The sequence below is a fragment of the Homo sapiens genome, chromosome X (assembly GCF_000001405.40).
Source record: "Homo sapiens chromosome X, GRCh38.p14 Primary Assembly".
Taxonomy (NCBI): Eukaryota; Metazoa; Chordata; class Mammalia; order Primates; family Hominidae; genus Homo; species Homo sapiens.
The window spans coordinates 70,829,886-70,848,834 of NC_000023.11; the positions used below are offsets into that span (position 1 = coordinate 70,829,886).

The following is an 18,949-nucleotide window of genomic DNA, read 5'->3' on the forward strand; positions in this document are numbered from 1 at the left end:
CCACCAGTGAAAATCGCCTTCACTAAAAGGAAGACAGGAAAGAAAGAAATATAATAGAATAAAAAATAGAAAACCAAAAACAATCAGAAAACAAATAACAAAGTGGCAGGAGTAAGTCTTTACTTATCAGTAATAACACTGAATGTAAATAGACTAAACTCTCCAATCAAAGGACATAGAGTGGCTGAATGGATTAAAAAAAAACAAGACCCAATGATCTCTTGCCTATAAGAAACACATTTCCCCTATGAAGATACACACAGATTGAAAATAAACGGATGGAAAAAGATATTCCATGACAACGGAAACCACGAAAGAGCAGGAGTACCTATACTTATATCAGACAAAATGGATTTCAAGACAAAAACTTTAAGGAGAGAGAAAAAAAGGTCACTATATAAGGATAAAGGGGAAAATTCAGCAAGAGGCTATAACAATTTTACATACACATGCACCCAACACTGGAGCACTCAGATATATAAAGCAATTATTAGAGGGAAAGAGAGAGATAGACCCCTGGTCAATGATTTTTTTGGATATGACCCCCACAGGTGACAAAAGCAAAAATAGGCAAATGAGATTGCACCAAACCAAAATGCTCTGCACAGCAAAGGAAACAATCAACAGAGTGAAGAGACAACCTACAGAATAGGAGAAAATATCCACAAATCACACGTCTGATAAAGAGTTAATCTCCAAAATATACAAGGAACTCAAACACTGCAATAGCAAATAAACAAATAACCCAATGAAAAAATGGGCAAAAGACCTGAATAGATATTTATCTAAGGAAGACATACAAATCAGCAACAGGTATGTGAAAAAATGCTCAACATCACTAACCATCAGGGAAATGCAAATTAAAATCACAATGAGATATCACCTCACATCTGTTAGAATGTCTATTATCAAAAAGACAAAAGATAAGTGTTGGCAAGGGCATGGAGAAAAGGAAACTTTGTACACTGCTGGTGGGAATGTAAATTAGTATACCCATTACAGAAAACAGTATAGAGGTTGCTCAAAAAATTAAAAATGTAACTACCATATGATCCAGCAATCTCACTTCTGGATATATACCCAAGGGAAATAAAATAAGTATCTTTAAGAGATATCTGCAATCCCTTGTTCACTGCAGCATTATTTACAATAGCCAAGCTATGGAATCAACCTAAGGGTCCAACAAGAGATGAATGGGTAAAGAAAATGTGGTATTTATATACAATAGAATACTATTCAGCCATAAAAAAGAAGGAAATCCTGTCATTTGTGATAACACAGATGAACCTGGAGGACATTAAGCTAAGTGAAATAAGCCAGCCGCAGAAAGACAAATACTGCATGATCTCACTTATATGTGGATTCTGAAAAAGCTGAGTTCATAGAAGTAGAGAGTAGAAAGGTGGTTGCCAGGGGGTTGGGGAATGGATGAGGAGATATTGGTCAAAGGGTACAAAGTGTCCAAGCACAGTGGCTCCCGTCTATAATCCCAGTACTTTGGGTGGCTGGGGCAAGAGGACTGCCTGAGCCCAGGAGTTCAAGATCAGCCTGCATAACATAGTGAAACCCCCATCTCTACAAAAAAATAAAACAACTAGCCAGCCTTGGTGGCACGCACCTGTAGTCCCAGCTACTCGAGAGGCTGAGGTGGGAGGATCACTTTAGCCGAGGAGGTTGAGGCTGCAGTGAGCCAGGATCATGCCACTGCACTCCAGCCTGGCGACAGAGCAATACTCTATCTCTTCAAATAAAAGGGGAGGGGTTACAAAGTTTCATTTAGGCCGTATGAATAAGTTCTGGGGCTGTACTGTACAGCACAGTGACTACAGTTAATATTATAATAATGTATTGTATACTTGAAAATTGCTAAGAAAGTAGATCTTAAATATTTCTCCACAAAAAAAACCTGTGTGAGTTGATGAATATATAAATTGGCTTGATTGTGGTGATCTTTTCACAATGTATATCAAAATATTATGTTATATACCATAAATATATACAAATTTTGTCAATTATACCCCCAATAAAGCTAGAAAAATGGAGGAAAAAAGAATAAAGATGGTGAAAGTAGAATGAGAAATTTGATTTGCCATAGTTTCAGTGTATCACTCACGAAATGATACAGGTTTACAGTGAAAAAACCTGAAAGACACGATCTTAATCAAGAGATCAAAGCTAGCACCACCAATAATAGTATAAATCAATCCTGTATACCACCCAATAGGAAGCCATGAGTAGAACATAGAATTTCTTCTGTGGTTTTCTGGCCTCAAATTCACAACCTGTTCTAATCATGAGGAAACTTTGGCTAAACCCACATTAAATCACATGCTACAAAATGACTGATCTGTAATCTTCAAAACTGCCAAGATCATGAATAACAAGGCAAGAATGAGGAGGTGTTCCAGATTTCCAGATTGAAGGAGACTGAAGACTATGTATAATTCTAGATTGAAACCATTTTCTATATAGAACATTATTGGAAAATTTGAATGACGTTTCCAAGCAAAGGATATACAGGAGTTCTTTGTACTATTCTTATAACTTTTCTATAAATATGAAATTGTTTTAAAAGTTTTTAAAGCCTAGAAGAATGTCTGATGTGACATATAACAGGCAACATATAAATGTTTACTGAATTAAGCTCTACATTATGACACCCAATTTGGGGAAAAAATAAGACCAATCTCACAAATAGGTACGATGTATGCAATACTGGGAACATTCTCCCTAATATCCAATTATATCTCCATTATTAATCCCTCTGTGATAGTAAAGACTGAAGTAGGCATAGGCGCTGAAATAGGAGAGAAAGAATGGAAAGGGAAGATAAAATGAAAAAGCAAAAAACTATGTATTTAGGAATTTTCATGAGATCCAGTCCAGGATGCAGGCTTTATCCTATCAAATCTCTCACATCTCCAAATCCCAGTATAGAAAAATACTATGGCAGTAAGATGATTAACTGCTATCAACCTTGTCAGCAGACAAACTCATTTTTTTCTTTCTTTTGTTGTATAGCATGAATATGGAGCAAATGTTATCAAAATGATTTGACAATAAAAGACAAAGCAAAGAAAATTTTAAGAAATATTCCATATCAGCCAGGTGTGGTGGCTCACGCCTGTAATCCCAGTACTTTGGGAGGCTGAGGTGGGTGGATCACTTGAGGCCAGGAGCTCCAGAGCAGCCTGCCCAACATAGCAAAACCCTGTCTGTACTAAAAATACAAAAAGTAGCCAGGTGTGGTGGCGCAGGCCTGTAATCCCAGCTACTCAGGAGGCTGAGGCACAAGAATCACTTGAACCCGGGAGGTGGAGGTTGCAGTGAGCTGAGATCACATCACTGCACTCCAGCCTGGGTGACAGAGTGAGACTCCATCTCAGAAAAAAAAAAAAGAAAAGAAAAGAAAAGAAAAGAAAAGAAAAAAAAGAAATATTCCATATAGCTTTTTCAAATGCCCTTTCTGGTAAAGAACAAAGGAAGCAAAATATTTCAAAGATCAGCTACTTATGTGGAACTGATCTCAAATAGAATCTCCAAAAGGTTGCATGAAGTAGTAATGATTCTTCCTGGAACTTGATATAGCATATTTTCAAACTCTTGGAGAATGCAGACTTCACTCACCATCTGGGGGAGCCTCATCAACATATCTTTACATTGCAGTACACACATAGATGCTCTTTGAAAATCCCCTTGAGCAACTGCCTGAAAAAGATAAAGAATGTCAATAATTGGTTAAAATGACAAGGTTATTTGTCTCTAAGTCAATTTTAGCATATTTTAACTAGTGTTTAAAAGTCTTATTTTGTTTTCTAATATTTTTAGCAATACTAGTTGTTCAAGCTAAACAGATAGCTTGCTCAAAATACAGAAGAATAAGTGGTAATCTTTGGTGACACAGAGTTGATACTGAATGAGCAGGAGTCATTTACTTTTTTCTGGAAATGCAAAAACTGGTTGTACTGCCTTATGTTATTATACTATGACATAATGCCAGGTCTACTAGATGCTTCTGCAACTTGAATAGCTCTTCTATTCACTTCTACATTAGAGGAATTAAGCTAAACAGCAGTCTTTGTCTTAAAGCAAGATCACAATAACCTCATAGTCTGAACTGCTATGTATATCCACTACAAAAAGCAGCTTATCAATTAGCCAGACATGGTGGCACACACCTATGGTCCCAGCTACTTTAGAGGCTGAGGCGGGAAAATTGCTCAAGTCCAGTAGTTCGAAGCTGCAGTAAGCTAAGAAGATACCTCTCTACTCCTGCCACAGATGACAGAGCAAAACCCCATCTCTTAAAAAAAAAAAAAATTTTAAGAAAAAAGAAAAGCAGCTTCGTACAATCTCATCATGAAGCCAAAAGAGCCGCTCTGCCATTTATCATGTGTAACTTTGAGCCTTAAGCTCTCACAGATTGTTTCCTCATCCATAAAGTGAGGAGACTGTACTAGACTATCTGCAGGGTTCCTTTCAGTTCTACCATTCTATGTCTGAACACCCCCAAATGAATGTAAACATCAATCACACATACTTTAGCACTTGTAGAAGAGGCTTGTTTCAGCCATTGAAGAACTTAGTTGGCCAGGAGCAGTGGCTCACGCCTATAATCCCAGCACCTAGGGAGGCCAAGGTGGGTGGATCACCTGAGGTCAGCAGTCTGAGACCAGCTTGACCAACATGGTGAAATCCCGTCTCTACCAAAAAACAAACAAACAAAACAAAACAAAACAAAACAAAACAACCCAAACACAAATTAGCTGGGTGTGGTGGTGGGCACCTGCAATCCAGCTACTCGGGAGGCGGAGGTTGCAGCGAGCTGAGATCGAGCCATTGCACTCCAGCCTGGGAGACAGAGCGAGACTCTGTCACAAAAAAAAAAAAAAGGCTGACACAGCATTTTTTAAGAAAAACATGGATACATACAAGGAAATAATAAAGTACTACACTTGCTATTTTCTTTCTTCTCTTCTTTACGTGGTGTCAAATATTATTGTGCTTTGAATAATAAAAGAATTGAGTAGACAGAAGAAAATATAAACAACGTAAGACACCAGCTTCTCTCTAGTTTTCTCTTCTAACTGCTGAATAGTAAGCCTGACATCTTGCTGAGTAGATACTCTCTTATAAGGCTTTAATACTAGATATTATTAAAGGGGAAAATAAATTGCTAACACAAGTGCCTCAATAAGCCAAATCTCTATATAGAGATTAGAAAATAATATTCCTGTCTACACTATATTCTATGAATACTTGCTGATTAAATCATTATTCAAGGTGGAGAAAATCTTACTATAAAAGAGAAATGCTGAGTGACAACACCATATCAGAGGATAGATGTTGCTGTCTGTTCTTATAACATATAAAACAATATGAGACTTTAATGTTCAAACAACCCATAAAGTGTCTATCATTACTCAGATTTTATCTTAGAGAAATCAAAGCTCTAATAATTCAGGCTACTTTTGAAAATTTATTCATCTTCTTATGACTAGAAACAAATATTTCAAGCCCAAAAGATAAAGATTTAAAGTAAAAGAAGTCTTAAAGAAGAGGCAGCACAATACAGTGCTGTAGTAACCTTTTGTGAGCATCAGACTCACCAGTGGAGCTTTCTGAAAATCACATGCCCAGCTCTCACAACTTGGGGAGACTGTGATTCATTAGATCTGGAGTGATGTCCTGCGTATACTGATGTAGTGAAAAGAATATGAGCTTTGCATTCCCAGTTTTTCCACTTCTTGGCTCAGTGAACTTAGGTAAGTCACAATCTCTTTGAGGCTCTATTTTGTTAACTATAAAATAGGGACAGTAATGTCTACAATATAGGATTGATTTTTATGAGGATCAAATGGGATCACAGATGTGAAAGCATTTCATAAACTGTAAGTCAGTATTCAAAAATGTGTACATTTGGGGCAATCAAAACTACCATCAGGGCTGGGCCCAGTGGCTCACCCCTGTAATCCCAGCACTTTGGGAGGCCAAGGTAGACTGATCACCTGAGGCCAGGAGTTCGAGACCAGCCTGTCCAACATGGCAAAACCCTGTCTCTACTAAAAATACAAAAAGTAGCTAGCTAGGCATGGTGGTGCGTGCCTGTAATCTCAGCTACTTGGGAGGCTGAGGCAGGAGAATCGCTTGAACCCGGGAAGCAGAGGCTGCAGTGAGCCGAGATGGCGCAATATTGCCTGGGCAATAGAGTGAGACTCTGTCTCAAAAAAAAAAAAAAAAAAGACAATATATTAAAATGGCAATACTCCCCGAGTTGATCTATAAATTTAATCCAATTCCATTAAAATTCCAGTTGGCCTTTTTTGCAGAAATTAACATGCTGATCTTAAAATTCAAATGGAAATTTAAGAAACCCAGGGCTAGGTGAAACATTCTGAGACATGACACCAAAAGCATGATCCATAAAAGAAAAAGAAATCAATCAACTGGACTTCATCAAAACTGTATTCTGTGACCCTATTAAAAAGGACAAAAAGACAAGCTACAACAAGACAATATTCGCGAATATTTATCTGACAAGGGAATCACATCTAGAATATATAAATAATCCTGTAAATTCAACAGTAAACTATCAAACAATCCAAATAGAAAATAGACAAGAAAAATGACAGATATTTTGCCTAAAGGGAGATACAGATGGCAAATAAGTAAATGAAAGGATGTTCAACATCATTAGCCATTAGAGAAATGCAAATTAAAACCACAATGAGATATCACTATATACCTATTAGGATAGCTACAATAAAAAAATTGGTCACAATACCAAATGCTGTCAAGGATGCAAAGAAATGGGATCTCTCATACATTACTGGTAAGAATCTAAATGGTGGCCGGGTGCAGTGGCTCACACCTGTAATCCCAGTACTTTGGGAGGCCTAGGTGGGTGGATCACCTGAGGTCAGCAGTTTGAGACAAGCCTGGCCAAGATGGCAAAGCCCCATTTCTACTAAAAATACAAAAATTAGCCAGGCATGGTGGCACGCACCTGTAGTCTCAGCCACTCGGGAGGCTGAGGCAGGAGAATCACTTGAGCCTGGGAGGCGGAGGTTGCAGTGAGCTGAGATCATGCCACAGCACTCCACCCTGGGTGACAGAGTGAGACTCTGTCTCAAAAGAAAACAAGAAAACAAAACAAAACACAGAATGTAAAATGGCATGGCCACTCTAGAAAACAGTTGGCAGTTTCTAAAAAAAAAATAAAACTAAATATACCCTTTATGTCCACACAAAAACCTGTATGGAAATGTTCATGCCAACTTATTTACAATAGCCAAAAATTGGAAACAACCCAAATTCTTTCAATGGTGAATGGCTAAACAAATTGGTACATCCATAGCATAGAATTCTACATAGCAATAAAAAGAGAACAGGGCTTGGCACGTTGACTCATGCCTGTAATCCCAGCACTTTGATAGGCAGAGGTGGGTGGATCACTTGAGGCCAGGAGTTTGAAACCAGCCTGGCCAACTTGGTGAAACGCCATCTATACTAAAAAATACAAAAAAATTAGCCAGGCAAGGTGGCACATGCCTGTAATCTCACGCTACTTGGGAGGCTGAGGCAGGAGAATCACTTGAACTCAGGAGGCAGTAGTTGCAGTGAGCCGAGATCACGCCATTGCACTCCAGCCTAGGCAACAGAGTGAGACTCTCTGTCTCAAAAACAAACAAACAAACAAAAAGAACAAACTATTAACACATAAAAAGACAAGGACGGATCGCAAAAAAAAAAATGCTGAGTGAAAACAACCAATATGAAATGGTTACATAGTGTAATATTACATTTATATAATGTTCTTAAAATGACAAAATTATAGAGATGGAGACTAGGTTTTGGTTGCCTGAGGTTTTGGATGATGGGAAAGGGGTATCCCTATAAAGGGGTTATGTAAAGAATCTGTGTGGTAATGAAACTGTTCTGTATCTTGATTGTGGTGGTGGTAGTGAACATGAATCTTCACCTACACATGTGCTGAAATTGTATAGAGCTCTATAAACACATGCAAACACACACAAGTGAGTTCATGTAAAACTGGTGAAATCTAAATAAGGTCTGTGGATTGTATCAATGTCTATTTCCTGGTTTTATATTGCACTATATGTATGCAAGATTTTGCTACTGGCAAAAAGCTGGGTGAAGGGTACACAGATCTCTCTTTACTATTTTTGTAGTTTCCTGCAAATCTATGCTTATTTCAAAATTTTAAAAAATTTTTAGAAACACATTTGTTGGCCAGGCACGGTAGCTCACACCTGCAATCCCAGTGCTTTGGGAGGCCGAGGTGGGTGGATCACCTGAGGTCAGGAGTTCAAGACCAGCCTGGTCAACACGGTGAAACACCATCTGTACTAAAAATACAAAATTTAGCCTAGCATGGTGGCGGCTGTCTGTAGTCCCAGCTAGCTACTCGGGAGGCTGAGGCAGGATAATCGCTTGAACCCAGGAGGTGGAGGTTGCAGTGAGCCAAGATGGCACTACTGCCCTCCAGCCTGGGCAACGGAGCAAGACTTGGTCTCAGAACAAATAAAATAAAATAAAATCACATTTGTTTAATACCACCACCAATTTCATCAGAAAAGACTAAGTATTAGAGGGGGAGGAGCCAAGATGGCCGAATAGGAACAGCTCCAGTCTACAGCTCCCAGTGTGAGCGACGCAGAAGATGGGTGATTTCTGCATTTCCAACTGAGGTACCGGGTTCATCTCACTGGGGAGTGCCAGACAGTAGGTGCAGGACAGTGGGTGCAGCAAACTGTGCGCAAGCCAAAGCAGGGCGAGGCATCGCCTCACCAGGGAAGCACAAGGGGTCAGGGAATTCCCTTTCCTAGTCAAAGAAAGCAGTGACAGATGGCACCTGGAAAATCGGGTCACTCCCACCCTAATACTGCGCTTTTCCAACGGGCTTAAAAAATGGCACACCAGGAGATTATATCCCGCACATGGCTCAGAGGGTCCTACACCCATGGAGTCTCGCTCATTGCTAGCACAGCAGTCCGAGATCAAACTGCAAGGTGGCAGCGAGGCTCGGGGAGGGGCACCCACCATTGCTGAGTTAGTTGTTTGATTAGGTAAACAAAGCAGCCGGGAAGCTCGAACTGGGTGGAGCCCACCACAGCTCAAGGAGGCCTGCCTGCCTCTGTAGGCTCCACCTCTGGGAGCAGGGCACAGACAAACAAAAAGACAGCAGTAACCTATGCAGACTTAAATGTCCCTCTCTGACAGCTTTGAAGAGAGTAGTGGTTCTCCCAGCACGCAGCTTGAGATCTGGGAACGGGCAGACTGCCTCCTCAAGTGGGTCCCTGACCCCCAAGTAGCCTAACTGGGAGGCACCCCCAGGAGGGGCGGACTGACACCTCACACGGCCGGGTACCCCTCTGAGACAAAACTTCCAGAGGAGCGATCAGGCAGCAGCATCTGCAGTTCACCAATATCTGCTGTTCTGCAGCCACCACTGCTGATACCCAGGCAAACAGGGTCTGGAGTGGACCTCTAGCAAACTCCAACAGACCTGCAGCTGAGGGCCCTGTCTGTTAGAAGGAAAACTAACAAACAGAAAGGACATCCACATCAAAAACTCATCTGTAGGTCACCATCATCAAAGAACAAAGGTAGATAAAACCACAAAGATGGGAAAAAAACAGAGCAGAAAAACTGGAAACTCTAAAAGTCAGAGCGCCTCTCCTCCTCCAAAGGAATGCAGCTCCTCACCAGCAATGGAACAAAGCTGGACGAAGAATGACTTTGACGAGCTGAGAGAAGAAGGCTTCAGGCAATCAAACTACTCTGAGCTACAGGAGGAAATTCGAACCAATAGCAAAGAAGTTAAAAGCTTTGAAAAAAAATTAGGCGAACGGATACTAGAATAACCAATGCAGAGAAGTCCTTCAAGGACCTGATGGAGCTGAAAACCAAGGCACGAGAGCTACGTGATGAACGCAGAAGCCTCAGTAGCCGATGCGATCAACTGGAAGAAAGGGTATCAGTGATGGAAGATGAAATGAAGCGAGAAGAGAAGTTTAGAGAAAAAAGAATAAAAAGAAATGAACAAAGCCTCCAAGAAATATGGGACTATTGAAAAGACCAAATCTACGTCTGATTGGTGTAGCTGAAAGTGATGGGGAGAATGGAACCAAGTTGGAAAACACTCTGCAGGATATTATCCAGGAGAAATTCCCCAATCTACCAAGGCAGGCCAACATTCAAATTCAGGAAATACAGAGAACACCACAAAGATACTCCTCGAGAAGAGCAAGTCCAAGACACATAATTGTCAGATTCACCAAAGTTGAAATGAAGGAAAAAACGTTAAGGGCAGCCAGAGAGAAAGGTCGGGTTACCCACAAAGGGAAGCCCATCAGACTAACAGCTGATCTCTCTGCAGAAACTCTACAAGCCAGAAGAGAGTGGGGACCAATATTCAACATTCTTAAAGGGAAGAATTTTCAACCCACAATCTCATATCCAGCCAAACTAACCTTCATAAGTGAAGGAGAAATAAAATACTTTACAGACAAGCAAATGCTGAGAGATTTTGTCACCACCAGGCCTGCCCTAAAAGAGCTCCTGAAGGAAGCGCTAAACATGGAAAGGAACAACTGGTACCAGCCACTGCAAAAACATACCAAATTGTAAACGCCATCAAGGCTAGGAAAAAACTGCATCAACTATCGAGCAAAATGACCAGCTAACATCATAATGACAGGATCAAATTCACACATAACAATATTAACCTTAAATGTAAATGGGCTAAATGCTCCAATTAAAAGACACAGACTGGCAAATTGGATAAAGAGTCAAGACCCATCAGTGTGCTGTATTCAGGAAAGCCATCTCATGTGCAGAGACACACATAGGCTCAAAATAAAGGGATGGAGGAAGATCTACCAAGCAAATGGAAAACAAACAAAGGCAGGGGTTGCAATCCTAGTCTCTGCTAAAACAGACTTTAAACCAACAAAGATCAAAAGAGACAAAGAAGGCCATTACATAATGGTAAAGGGATCAATTCAACAAGAAGAACTAACTATCCTAAATATATATGCACCCAATACAGGAGCACCCAGATTCATAAAGCAAGTCCTGAGTGACCTACAAAGAGACTTAGACTCCCACACAATAATAATGGGAGACTTTAACACCCCACTGTCAACATTAGACAGATCAATAAGACAGAAAGTTAACAAGGATACCCAGGAATTGAACTCAGCTTTGCACCAAGCGGACCTAATAGACATCTACAGAACTCTCCACCCCAAATCAACAGAATATACATTCTTTTCAGCACCACACCACACCTATTCCAAAATTGACCACATAGTTGGAAGTAAAGCACTCCTCAGCAAATGTAAAAGAACAGAAATTATAACAAACTGTCTCTCAGACCACAGTGCAATCAAACTAGAACTCAGGATTAAGAAACTGACTCAAAACCGCTCAACTACATGGAAACTGAACAACCTGCTCCTGAATGACTACTCGGTACATAATGAAATGAAGGCAGAAATAAAGATGTTCTTTGAAACCAACGAGAACAAAGACACAACATACCAGAATCTCTGGGACACATTCAAAGCAGTGTGTAGAGGGAAACTTATAGCACTAAATGCCCACAAGAGGAAGCAGAAAAGATCCAAAATTGACACCCTAACATCACAATTAAAAGAACTAGAAAAGCAAGAGCAAACACATTCAAAAGCTAGCAGAAGGCAAGAAATAACTAAAATCAGAGCAGAACTGAAGGAAATAGAGACACAAAAAACCCTTCAAAAAATTAATGAATCCAGGAGCTGGTTTTTTGAAAAGATCAACGAAATTGATAGACCGCTAGCAAGACTAATAAAGAAGAAAAGAGAGAAGAATCAATTAGACGCAATAAAAAATGATAAAGGGGATATCACCACCGATCCCACAGAAATACAAACTACCATCAGAGAATACTACAAACACCTCTACGCAAATAAACTAGAAAATCTAGAAGAAATGGATAAACTCCTCGACACATACACCCTCCCAAGACTAAACCAGGAAGAAGTTGAATCTCTGAATAGACCAATAACAGGCTCTGAAATTGTGGCAATAATCAACAGCTTACCAACCAAAAAAAGTCCAGGACCAGATGGATTCACAGCCGAATTCTACCAGAGGTACAAGGAGGAGCTGGTACCATTCCTTCTGAAACTATTCCAATCAATAGAAAAAGAGGGAATCCTCCCTAACTCATTTTATGAGGCCAGCATCATCCTGATACCAAAGCCTGGCAGAGACACAACAAAAAAAGAGAATTTTAGACCAATATCCTTGATGAACATTGATGCAAAAATCCTCAGTAAAATACTCACAAACCGAATTCAGCAGCACATCAAAAAGCTTATCCACCATGATTAAGTGGGCTTCATCCCTGGGATGCAAGGCTGATTCAACATACGCAAATCAATAAATGTAATCCAGCATATAAACAGAACCAAAGACAAAAACCACATGATTATCTCAATAGATGCAGAAAAGGCCTTTGACAAAATTCAACAACACTTCATGCTAAAAACTCTCAATAAATTAGGTATTCATGGGACATATCTCCAAATAATAAGAGCTATCTATGACAAACCCACAGCCAATATCATACTGAATGGGCAAACACTGGAAGCATTCCCTTTGAAAACTGACACAAGACAGGGATGCCCTCTCTCACCACTCCTATTCAACATAGTGTTGGAAGTGCTGGCCAAGGCAATTAGGCAGGAGAAGGAAATAAAGGGTATTCAATTAGGAAAAGAGGAAGTCAAATTGTCCCTGTTTGTAGATGACATGATTGTACATCTAGAAAACCCCATCATCTCAGCCCAAAATCTCCTCAAGCTGATAAACAACTTCAGCAAAGTCTCCGGACACAAAATCAATGTACAAAAATCACAAGCATTCTTATACACCAATAACAGACAACAGAGCCAAATCATGAGTGAACTCCCATTCACAATTGCTTCAAAGAGAATAAAATACCTAGGAATCCAACTTACAAGGGATGTGAAGGACCTCTTCAAGGAGAACTACAAACCACTGCTCAGTGAAATAAAAGAGGATACAAACAAATGGAAGAACATTCCATGCTCATGGGTAGAAAGAATCAATATCGTGAAAATGGCCATACTGCCCAAGGTAATTTATAGTTTCAATGCCATCCCCATCAAGCTACCAACAACTTTCTTCACAGAATTGGAAAAAACTACTTTAAAGTTCATACGGAACCAAAAAGAGCCCACATTGCCAAGACAATCCTAAGCCAGAAGAACAAAGCTGGAGGCATCATGCTACCTGACTTCAAACTATACTACAAGGCTACAGTAACCAAAACAGCATGGTACTGGTACCAAAACAGAACAGAGCCCTCAGAAATAATGCCGCATATCTACAACTATCTGATCTTTGACAAACCTGACAAAAACAAGCAATGGGGAAAGGATTCCCTATTTAATAAATGGTGCTGGGAAAACTGGCTAGCCATATGTAGAAAGCTGAAGCTGGATCCCTTCCTTACACCTTATACAAAAATTAATTCAAGATGGATTAAAGACTTAAACATTAGACCTAAAACCATAAAACCCCTAGAAGAAAACCTAGGCAATACCATTCAGGACATAGGCATGGGCAAGGACTTCATGTCTAAAACACCAAAAGCAATGGCAACAAAAGCCAAAATTGACAAATGGGATCCAATTAAACTAAAGAGCTTCTGCACAGCAAAAGGAACTACCATCAGAGTGAACAGGCAACCTACAAAATGGGAGAAAATTTTTGCAATCTACTCATCTGACAAAGGGCTAATATCCAGAATCTACAATGAACTCAAACAAATTTACAAGAAAAAAACTAACAATACCATCAACAAGTGGGCGAAGGATATGAAGAGGAGACACTTCTCAAAAGAAGACATTTATGCAGCCAAAAAACACATGAAAAAATGCTCATCATCACTGGCCATCAGAGAAATGCAAATCAAAACCACAATGAGATACCATCTCACACCAGTTAGAATGGCATCATTAAAAAGTCAGGAAACAACAGGTGCTGGAGAGGATGTGGAGAAATAGGAATGCTTTTACACTGTTGGTGGGACTGTAAACTAGTTCAACCATTGTGGAAGTCAGTGTGGCGATTCCTCAGGGATCTAGAACTAGAAATACCATTTGACCCAGCCATCCCATTACTGGGTATATACCCAAAGGATTATAAATCATGCTGCTATAAAGACACATGCACACGTATGTTTATAGCGGCACTATTCACAATAGCAAAGACTTGGAAGCAACCTAAATGTCCAATAACGATAGACTGGATTAAGAAAATGTGGCACATATACACCATGGAATACTATGCAGCCATAAAAAAGGATGAGTTCATGTCCTTTGTAGGGACATGGATGAAACTGGAAGCCATCATTCTCAGCAAACTATCGCAAGGACAAAAAACCAAACACCGCATGTTCTCACTCATAGTTGGGAATTGAACAATGAGAACCCATGGACACAGGAAGGGGAACATCACACACCGGAGACTGTTGTGGGGTGGGGGGAGGGGGGAGGGATAGCATTAGGGGATATACCTAATGCTAAATGACGAGTTAATGGGTGCAGCACACCAACATGGCACATGTACACATATGTAACAAACCTGCACGTTGTGCACATGTACCCTAAAACTTAAAGTACAATAATAATAAAATAAAAAAAAAGACTTTGTATTTAGGCAGTGGCTCATACCTGTAGTCCCAGCACTTTGGGAGGCCAAGGCAGGTGGATAACTTGAGGCCAGGAGCTCGAGACCGGCCTGGCCAACATGGGGAAACCCCCATCTCTACTAGAAATACCAAAACAAAACAAAACAAAAAAGCCAGCAGTGGTGGTGTGCGCCTGTAATCCCAGCTACCTCCCAGGCTGAGGCATGAGAACCGCTTGAACCCGGGAGGCAGAGGCTGCAGTGAGCTGAGACTGTGCCACTGCACTCCAACCTGTGTGGCAGAATGAGACTGCCTCAAAAAAAAAAAAGACTAAGTATTTAGAAGCTACCAAGCTCATGGTAGAAGTACACATTTTCTAAAATTTCAGTTTTTACCTAAAAGCTCAAACTTTTTCACTGGCAAAAAATACTGTCAATTGTTTTCCCAGAAGTCACATGCTAACCTAAGTGTCCATCAACAGATGAATGGATGAAGAATGCAAAATGGTACATATACACAATAGAGTCCTATTCACTTGGTTCATTTTATTTTATCTTTTACTTTTGAGAGGGAATCTCACTGTCACCCAGGCTGAAGTGCAGTGGCATCATCTCTGCTCACTGCAACCTCTGTCTCCCGAATTCAAGCGATTCTCCTGCCTCAGTCTCCCAAGGAGCTGAAATTACAGGCACCTGACACCATGCCCAGCCCACGTTTATATTTTTAGTAGAGACGGGGTTTTACCATTTTGGCCAGGCTGGTCTTGAACTCCTGACCTCAGGCGATCCGCCCGCCTCGGCCTCCCAAAGTGATGGGATTACAGGCAGGGGCCACTGCGCCTGGCCCACTTCATTCATTTTTATGAAAACATCTGCTAAATAGCCAAGTTTATGTGTCAGTCATTCTTGAAATTAAAAATAGTTAATCCAGGCAGGGCACACTGGGTCACGCCCGTAATCCCAGCACTTTGGGAGGCTGAAGTGGGCAGATCACCTGAGGTCAGGAGTTCGAGACCCGCCTGGCCAACATGGCAAAATTCCATCTCTACTAAAAATACAAAAATTAGCCAGGCATGGTGATGCGCACCTGTAGTCCCAGCTACTCGGGAGGCTGAGGCAGGAGAATCGCTTGAACCCAGGAGGTGGAGTTTGCAGTGAGCCAAGATTGTGCCATTGCATTCCAGCCTGGGTGACAGAGCAAGACTCCATCACACACGCACACACAAAATAGTTAATTCGGCTCACAAATTAAACAATCACTTAAGAGCCTCTCCTCCAGATAACCATCACACTTCGATATGCAACAAAAGTGCTATATGAGTGTTTCCCTTTTCATCACACATATTAAAATGATATGTGTTCAAGGGCCCAAGATTTAATAAAATTAATCATCTTTACTCGCTTATCAAGGATGGTTTTGTGTAAAACTGGCATCCTTTTTATTTATTTATTTTTTAAATGAAAACCACTCAGATTGCATCCTTTCCTTCCCAGTCTCCCAAAGGAAGAAAAGAACGATCATCAATGGCAAATGGCAGTTGCAGCAAAGCAACATCAAGAGCCGGCTTTACACTTAGGAGATAATGCTGCACCTCTTCTTTGTGGTTTTCAGTGCTATACACGTTCAGAGAAACTTCTCTAGTAACAAACTATAGAAATGATCCCTGAAAGTATAGTCTTAAGACTGGCATTCTTCTTAAAGTAAGAGTATAGCAGTGATGAATAAAAAGATGACTAGTCTGTATGCTAGTGCCACTATCCTGATTCATGTTGAAGTGCCAGCAATCTTACCCATCATTGCTTTGCATCACCAGAGCAAATGCTAAAACAGCAAAAAATAGGCAAATAATGTTTTAGAATTATTATAAAATAGTTTTGACCTCCCAGAACCTCCCACCATAACTTCTTCCATTGCCTCGCCACCCATTCAGTCCTTAAACCCTTACAGTCTATTTTCTACTATTATCTTATGATATAGTTGGAATATTTGTCCCTTCCAAATCTCATGTTGAAATGTGATGCCCCAGGTCAGGCATGGTCGCTCACGCCTGTAATCCCAGCAGTTTGGGAGGCCAAGGTGGGTGGATTGCTTGAGGCGAGGAGTTCAAGGCCAGCCTGGCCAACATGGCGAAACCCTGTCTCTACTAAAAATACAAAAATTAGCCGGGCGTGGTGGCATGTGACTGTAATCCCAGCTACTCTGGAGGCTGAGGCATGAGAATAGCTTGAACCCAGGAGGCAGAGATTTCAGTGAGCTGAGATCACGCCACTGCACTACAACCTAGGCAACAGAGCAAGACTCTGTCTCAAAAAAAAAGGAAGAAAGAAAGAGATGTGATGCCCCAATTTTGGAGGTAAGGCCCAGTGGGAGGTGTTTAGGACATGGAGTCAGATCTCTCATGAATGACTTGGCTCTCTCCCCACAGTAACAGTGAGTTCTTGCTCTAGTAGTTCCTCTAAGATGGCATTGTTCGAAAGAGTCTGGTATCACCCTCCCCTGTATCTCTTTTTCCCTCTCTTGTCATGTGACATGCCTGCTCCCCTTCGACTTTTGGCATGATTGGAAGCTTACTGAAGTCCCTGGCCAGAAGCAGATGCTGGCATATGCTTCTTGTACAGTGTGCAGAACCGTGAGCAAGAATAAATCTTTTCTTTATAAATTACCCAGCCTCAAGTATGCCATTATAGCAATACAAAACGAACTAAGACACCTTACTACTGAAACTGCTTTCTATGGTCACTATCATCTTCCTAAACGTCAGGTCCAATGGCGTTTATTCCGACCTCATTTTCTTTTATTTCTCTGAAGCACTGGCCACTGTTGATCATCCTTTTCTCCAAACTCTCTTCTCGTGAATGACCCACACTGTTCTAGTCCTCTTTCATCTCTGGTATTCCTTCTTTTTCGTTTGCTCTGCTTTTTGAAATTTTAATGTAATTAAATTTAATTTTTTAAAGACAGGGATTCACTCTATCACCCAGGCTGGAGTGCCGTGGTGTAATCATGGCTCACTGCAGCCTCAATCTGTGATCCTCCTGTTTCAGCCTCCCATGAAGCTGAGACCACAGGCATGTGCCACCATGCCTGGCTAATTTTTTTTCTTTTCTCACAGAGATAGGGTCTAGCTATGTTGCCCATGCTGGTCTTGAACTCCTGACCTCAAATGATCCTCCCACCTTGGCCTCCCAAAGTGCTGGGATTACAGGTGTGAGCCACCATGCCTAGCAGTGTTTGCTCTACTTTCGACTGCACTCTCCCACCTCCCAACAACATGTAAATGTTTGTGGAATGAACAGGCTTTATTATCCTCCCTTTCCTGCCTCCAAAGATTCAATGGTTCAAGTCCTTCTCACTGAGCATAAATGATTGCTTCCTTTATATGTCTCCTGTATCTGTCCCTTCTTTCCCATTCTCATTGGTACTACTATAGTACAGGCTTTCACCAGTTCATGCTTACACTATGCCTTGATTCTGTTCACTTTTCAATCAATTCTAAACACGATTACAGGTTACTCTTCACTAGGTGCCACCAAACCTCTTCCTAAACACTTTCAATCACCCCAGTACCTTTAGGAAAATATCAAAAGTATTTTTTCAAAGAGGTATATTTGGGCTTTCTCAACCTGGCCCTACTTATTTCTCCAGACTTAGCACTCATTGTGCCCTTGCAAAATACTTTCCTTCAGATAAACTGATCACACTGTTCCTTAAACGTGGCATGCACATTTCTGCCTATATGACTTTGCTCTGCCTGGAATATTCTGTGCCCTCTTCCCCACTTTCCTAAGTCTGTTTCTTCCTTCAAAGTTCAAATCATGCTCTAAATCCTGTGTGTCTTCTACAACCCAGTCCACAATAATCTCCCCACTTTTCTACACTCTTGTAGCACTTGCCTGTACTGGTGTTTTTCAGTCTTTCACATTTTACATACTACTGATCACTCTTTTGATAGGATGGGGGGTGCAAAAAGATCAGAAAGGAATAATAGGGGGAGAGCAGATTCATTTGTACCACACACATTTACATAATATATATTATATGCTACGTACTATGCTAGAAGCTGACAATGCAGATTAATTTTTTTACATTACTACTTTTTTAACTACTAGGAAAGATGGTGAACCAAAGTCCTTGATATAATAGAGAAAGCTGGCTTTCACTTGGCTTGTATCTCCAGGATAGCCTCCATCATAGTCTTTATAGGTAAGCTCATAGCCC

At 40.7% G+C, this 18,949-nt stretch overlaps 1 protein-coding gene and 1 non-coding gene across 5 annotated transcripts in view; both read right to left on the reverse strand.

The window, feature by feature from the left end:
• Positions 1-18,949, reverse strand: part of TEX11 (testis expressed 11) — a 397,485-nt gene that overhangs the window by 318,659 nt on the left and 59,877 nt on the right. For all 4 annotated transcript variants that reach the window (XM_017029649.1, XM_011530994.2, NM_031276.3 and 1 more), the window contains one exon: positions 3,628-3,708. In XM_017029649.1, coding sequence (XP_016885138.1) covers positions 3,628-3,708 — 81 coding nt within the window. The remainder of the gene's footprint in view (positions 1-3,627; positions 3,709-18,949) is intronic.
• SNORD3E (small nucleolar RNA, C/D box 3E) lies at positions 16,196-16,410 on the reverse strand. The gene has a single exon (NR_145758.1). It is a non-coding gene; the product is annotated as a small nucleolar RNA, C/D box 3E (small nucleolar RNA).